Raw genomic sequence first — 6,968 nt, 5'->3', positions numbered from 1 at the left:
TCCACTACCCCTTTGATCTGAACCAGCTGTTTCTCGCTCCCTGGAAATAATCATATTAAGAATCTGAATGACAGAATTGTGGCTATTTTCTAGGCACACACAATTTGTGCTTTGAAACTTGATTTTTAACTCCGCTATCCTCAAAAGTTTTCCATCTTTGATCTCATTCTCTTAAAAACTGTATGTCATCGGTGAAACCCCGTCTCTACTAAAAATACAAAAAATTAGCCGGGCGCAGTGGCGGGCGCCTGTGGTCCCTGCTACTCGGGAGGCTGAGGCAGGAGAATGGCGTGAAGCCGGAAGGCGGAGCTTGCAGTGAGCCGAGATAGCGCCACTGCACTCCGGCATGGGAGAAAGAGCAAGACTCCGTCTCAAAAAAAAAAAAAAAAAAACCAAAAAAAAACTGTGTGTCATTCCTCAAATTTAATACAGCCAATCATAATGTATTTAAACAGCTCTTGTGCCAGTTTTCAAGGGGAATGCTTCCAGCGTTTGCCCATTCAGTATAATATTGGCTGTGCGTTTGTCATACATGTCCCTTATTATTTTGAAGTACGTCCCTGTCCTTTAAATACCTAGTTAATTGAGGCTTTTTTCTTTTTTTTTTTTGAGACGGAGTTTTTGTTGCCCAGGCTGTAGTGCAACGGCGTGATCTTGGCTCACCACAACCTCCACCTCCTGTGTTCAAGCGATTCTCTTGCCTCAGCCTCCCGAGAGGCTGGGATTACAGGCATGCACCACTACACCTGGATAATTTTTTGTATTTTTAGTAAAGATGGGGTTTCTCCATGTTTGTCAGGCTGATCTCGAACTCCCGACTTCAGATGATCCTCCTGCCTTGGTCTCCCAAAGTGTTGGGATTACAGGCGTGAACCACCGTGCACTGCCTAATTGAGACTTTTTAACCTGAAGGGACGTTGATTTTTATCGAAGGTCTTTTCTGCATTTACCGAGATAACCATGTAGTTTTTCTCTTTAGTTCTACTTATGTGATGAATCACATTTATTGATTTGCATATATTGAACCAACGTTGCATGAAGACAACTTGATCATGGTGGATAAACTTTTGGATGTGCTGCTGGATTCAGTTTGCAGGTATTTTGTTGAGAATTTTTGCATCAATATTCATCAAGGATATTGGTCTGAACTTTTGTTTTATCTCTGCCAGGTTTTGGTATCAGGATGATGCTGGCTTTATAGAGTGAATTAGGGAGGAATCCCTCCTTTTCAATTGCTTGGAATAGTTTCAGTAAGAATGGTATCAGTTCTTCTTTGTACCTCTGGTAGAACGCAGCTGTGAATCCATCTGACCTTGGTTTTTCTTAATTAGTTGGTTGGCTATTTATCACTGCCTCAATTTCAGAATTCATTATTGGTCTATTCAGGGATTTGATTTCTTCCTGGTTCAGTTTTGGGAGGGTATATGTGTACATGAATTTATCCATCTCTTCCAGATTTTCTAGTTTATGCGAGTAGAGATATTAATATTATTCTCTAATAGTTGTTTGTAGTTCTGTGGGGTCAAGGATGCCTTCTTTCACCAGTCCTATTTCATATAGTATTGGAAGCTCTGGCTAGGGTAATTAGACAAGAGAAAAAAAAGTTATTCCAATAGGAAGAAGGGAAGTCAAACTATCTTTGTTTGCAGATGACATGATCCTATATCTAGAAAACCCCATCATCTCAGGACAAAAGCCTTTTAAGCTGATAAGCAACATCAGCAAAGTCTCAGGATACAAAATCAATGTGCACAAATCGCTAGCATTCCCATTTGTGATTGCCACAAAAAGAATAAAATACCTAGGAATCCAGCTAAGAAGGGAAGAAAAGAAACTCTTCAAGGAGAACTACATACCACTGCTCAAAGAAATCAGAGATAACACAATCAAATAGAAAAAAACATTCCATGCTCATGGATAGGAAGAATTAATATTGTGAAAATGGCCATACAGACCAAAGTAATTTAGAGACTTAATGCTATTCCCATTAAACTACCATTGACGTTCTTCACAGGATTAGAAAACCTATTTTAAAATTAATATGGAACAAAAATTAGCCCAAATAGCCAAGGTGATCCTAAGCAAAAAGAACAAAACTGGAGGCATTACCGTATCTGACTTCAAACTATATTAATGGACTACAGTAACCAAAACAGCATGGTACTGTTATGAGAACAAGCACATAAACAAATAAGAAATAAGAACACAGAGATAAGACTACACGCCAACAACTATTTGATCTTCAACAAAACTGACAAAAACAAGCACTGGGGAAAAGATTCCCTATTAAATAAATGGTGCTGGGAGAACTGGCTAGTCATATGCAGAAAACTAAAATTGGAACCCTTCCTTACACCATATACAAAAATCAACTGAAGGTGGGTTAAAGACATAAATGTAAAGTGCAAAGCTATAAAACTCCTAGAAGAAAACCTGGGCACTACCATTCAGCTCTTAGGCATGGGCAAAGACTTCATGATGAAGATGACAAAAGCAATTGAAATAAAAGCAAAATTTGATAATTGGGCTCGAATTAAACTAAAAAGTTTCTGCATAGCAAAAGAAACTATCAACAAAGTATAGAGACAACCTATAGAATGGTAGACAATTTTGGCAATCTATCCACCTGACAAAGGTCTAATATCCAGCATCTATAAGGAACTTAAACAAATTTACAATAACCTCATTAAAAAGTAGACAAAGGATATGAACAGACACTTCTCAAAAGACGACATAATGGGGCCAACAAATAACTGAAAAAAAAGCTCAACATCACTGATCATTAGAGAAATGCAAGCAAAATCACAATGAGATACCATCTTACTCCAGTCAGAATGGCTACAATTAAAAAGTCAGAAACAACAGAACAGATGCTGGCAAGATTGTGGAGAAAAAGGAACACTTTTACACTGGGTGTGTAAATTGGTTCAACCATTGTGGAAGACAGTGTGGCAATTCCTCAAAGATCTAGAACCAGAAATATCATTTGATGCAGCAATTCCAATATATATATATACCCTCAAAGGAATATACCCAAAGGAATATAAAATCATTCAATTAGAAAGATACACTGCAGCACTATTCATAATAGCAAAGACATGGAATCAACCCAATTTCTCATCATAATAGACTGGATAAAAAAATGGTACAGCCAGGCGCGGTGACTCACGCCTGTAATCCTAGCACTTTGGGAGGCCAAGGTGGGTGGATCATGAGGTCAGGAGATCAAGACCATACTGGCTAACACAGTGAAACCACATCTCTAGTAAAAATACAAAAAAAAATTAGCCAGGCATGGTGGCACGTGCCTGTAATCCCAGCTACTTGGGAGGCTGAGGCAGGAGAATGGTGTGAACCCGGGAGGTGGAGCTTGCAGTGAGCCAAGATCTCACCACTGCACTCCAGCCTGGGCAACAGAGAGAGACTCCGTCAAAAAAAAAAAAAAATTACCTATAAAACATGGGATACTATACAGCCATAAAAAGAAATGAGATCATGTCCTTTGAAGGGACACAGATGGAGCTGGAAGCCATTATCCTCAGCAAACTAATGCAGCAATAGAAAACAAAACACTGCATGTTCTTGCTTATAAGTGGAACTGAATAATGAGAACACAAGGACACATGGTGGAAGACAACACACACTGGGGCTTGTCACAGGGTAGGGGTTGGGTAGTAGTGGGGAGAGTATGAGGAAGAATAGCTAATGGATGCCAGGCTTAATATCTAGGTGATGGGATGATCTGTGCAGCAAGCCACCATCACACACGTTTACCCATGTAACAAGGCTGCACATCCTGCATAGGTATCCCTGAATTTAAAATAAAAGTTGGAAATAAAAAGTTAAATTAAATTAAAAAAATAAACAGCTCTTATGGAATATTAGGGTGTTTTCATTTTTTTACTCATTTTTATTAGTGGAATTAATGTTTCAGTATCATCCATTTCTAATGAATGAATGTTAAAATGGCATCCCTGTGTGAGTTAACCTTTAAGATAAATATTAGTATTAGAATTGTGGAGGCATAAGATTAGCCCTTCTGTTAAATACTGCAAATGTCTAGATATGCTAATATATAAATGTTTTCTTTTGTGTGTTTATCATATTTCATAAGGTAGTGTAGGTTGAATTATGTCCACCAAAAAGATGTTCTCACTCTAAGTACCTCAGAATGTGACCTCTTTGAGAAATGGGGTATTTACAGGGATAGACAACTTAAAATCAGGTTGCTAGACTGGTCCCTAAATCTAATGTAACTGTAATCCTTATAAGAAGAAATAATTTAGACACAGATACAGATATGTCCACCAGGCAAAATAAAAGCAGAGATCAGAGTGTTAAATTACAAGTCAAAGAACACCACAGATTGCTGGAAAAGCACCAGCAGTTAGAAGAGAGGCATGAAACAGACTCTCCATCACAACCTGATTTGGTTTGGATGTGCGTCCCCTCCAAATCAAATGTTGATGTGTGATCCCTACTGTTAAAGGTGGCACCTGGGGGAAAGTGTTTAGGTCATGGGGGAAGAGCCCTCATGAATGTCTTGGTGCCTTCCCCATGGTCTGAGTGAATTTTTGCTCAGTTCACATGCAATCTGATCGTTTAAAAGAATCAAATTTAAACAATTGGGATCTCTCTTTCTCCCTCTCTCACCATGTGACACACCTGCTGCTCCTTCAACTTCCACCATGAGTAAAACGTTTTTGAGGCCTCAGTCGAAGCCTAGCAAATGCTGGTAGCATGCTTATACGCCCTGCAGAAGCCTGAACCAAATAAACTTATTTTCTTTCTAAATCACCTAGCCTCAGGTATTAGCAATGCAAAATGAATTAAAACACAACCCTAAGAAGAAATCAACCCTGCTAACACTTTGATCTCACACTTCTAACTTCCAGATCTCTAAGATAATAAATTTCCATTGTTCAAGTCACTCAATTTGTGATACTTTTTTGCAGCCCTAGGGAACTAATGCATGCATCTATAGATATAAAATTATTCACTTATATTTCCTTCTGGAACTATAGAGATAAATTTTAACACTTTTATGTTATATGCATATGGCAGTAAAGAAAGTAATCTTGTCAGAGAACATTTTTGATTTTTCTTTTACAGTGAGAGATGAATATTAAACATGTGGTTTTATAAGGTTACAGAAGAAAACAGATGCTAACTCAATCTGTGCAATTTCAGCACAGTATAATAGAGTTTATTTGTTTATAATTGGGAAGAATGTAAATAAACCAAGATGAAAGAACATAGTTACACCAAAGGTAGCAACTGCGATCCAGATAATATGATCTTTAAAGTACAGTCAAGAAGGAAATGAACTGGGCCACAATTTGAGACATAAAATCTTAACTTCTGAGGGGGGCATTCTGAAACACGTTCTTGGGTCCATTTTAAGATTTTAAGAAAGTTGGAATGGTGAAAAATACACTTTATGCTATGATATGGCAATTTGTAGGAGCAATAATACTTCTAAGGTCTTAAATACCTTTGCCAAGAAAGTTTCAGAGACTAGACAGGTGGTCTTTCTACACAGAACAGCCATAGACATAATACCATATTTCTATGCCTGATCCAATGCTGATCTCAGTAAAGAATATTATTCCTATTTCCCAACAGATTGTCTGAGATTTTTAAATGTGTATTAGTTTCCTAGGGCTCCTGTAACAAATTACAACAAACTTGATGACTTCAAACAACAGAAATTTATTCTCTCAGAGTTCGGCAGGTCAGAAGTCGCAAACCAAGGTGGGTGTAGGGTACTCCCTAAAGACACTCTTGGGGAAAATCTGTCTCATGCCGCTTACAGCTTCTGGTGGTTGTTAACTTGTTCGGCTTATGGCCACAGCCTCCAATTTATGCCTCTGTCTTCATATCACTTTCTTTTGTGTGTGTGTCTACCTTTTTCTCTGCTTATCTCTTAAAAGGTCAATGATTATTAAATTTGAAGTCCACTTGGATAATCTAGGAAAATGTCTCCATATCAAAATCCTCAATTTAATAACATCTTCAAAGACTGTTTATTTAAATAAAGTAAGATTTCATAGGTTCCATGGATTAGAATATGGAAATAATTTTTATGGCACCACCAATTTACACCACTACATAATGTTACTAAATATATTTGGATTAATAGATACTGGAAAATTAGCAATTAGGCTGACATACTCATATCTGATACTGCAGGGTGTACAGATTAAGGATTGAATGTATTCCCTTGATCTTAGTTGTTTATCTTTGGCCACTGGCTTATAAATGCATTATAAGTTCTAAATATTATAAGTGTTTTTTGCAATGCATCATTCAAATGTGAGTTCTTCAAAGTCTTTAATTATGCTATTTTAGCTTTGGACCTCCAAGCTAATCCAGTAAAAGATGATTGAACACAACGACTATCTAAAGCTGGTTGAAACATATGGCCATAGATAATTTTACCAGTAGTGCTTATCTGAACTAAACATTGCCAATAAAATGCAGTGTATTTTCCAGCCATGGCTTACCAATGATCAATGGGGACAACAAGAAAGCTAAAGAAATGCAATGAGGAAAGGATCTCCTATTCAGTAAATGGTGCTGGGAAAACTAACTAGCCATATACAAAAAACTGAAACTGGACCCCTTCTTTACACCTTGTACAAAAATTAACTCAAAATGGATTAAAGACTTAAATGTAAAACCCAAAACTGTAAAAACCCTAGAAGAAAACCTAGGCAATACCATTCAGGACATAGGCATGGGCAAAGACTTTCATGATGAAGATGCCAAAAGCAATTGCAACAAAAGTCAAAACTGACAAATGGGAGCTAATTAAACTAAAGAGATTCTGCACATCAAAAGAAACTATCATCAGACTGAACAGGCAACCTACAGAGTGGGAGAAAATTTTTGCAATCTACCCATCTGACAAAGGTTTAATATCCAGAATTTACAAGGAACCTAATCATATTTATAAGAAAAAAAAA

At 37.4% G+C, this 6,968-nt stretch overlaps 1 annotated feature.

Moving 5' to 3' along the window:
• Positions 560 to 726: a silencer, noted in NCBI's record as "fragment chr7:118947178-118947344 (GRCh37/hg19 assembly coordinates)". NCBI's record gives its function as "represses an EF-1alpha promoter that drives an FKBP-Casp9 reporter gene in an ReSE screen in HepG2 liver carcinoma cells {active_cell/tissue: HepG2}" and the evidence as "EXISTENCE:reporter gene assay evidence [ECO:0000049][PMID:32094911]".

Source organism: Homo sapiens, chromosome 7, assembly GCF_000001405.40.
Source record: "Homo sapiens chromosome 7, GRCh38.p14 Primary Assembly".
NCBI classification, from domain to species: Eukaryota; Metazoa; Chordata; class Mammalia; order Primates; family Hominidae; genus Homo; species Homo sapiens.
Note: the sequence above shows the minus strand (reverse complement) of the source record. Positions and strands in the feature narration are given on the sequence as shown.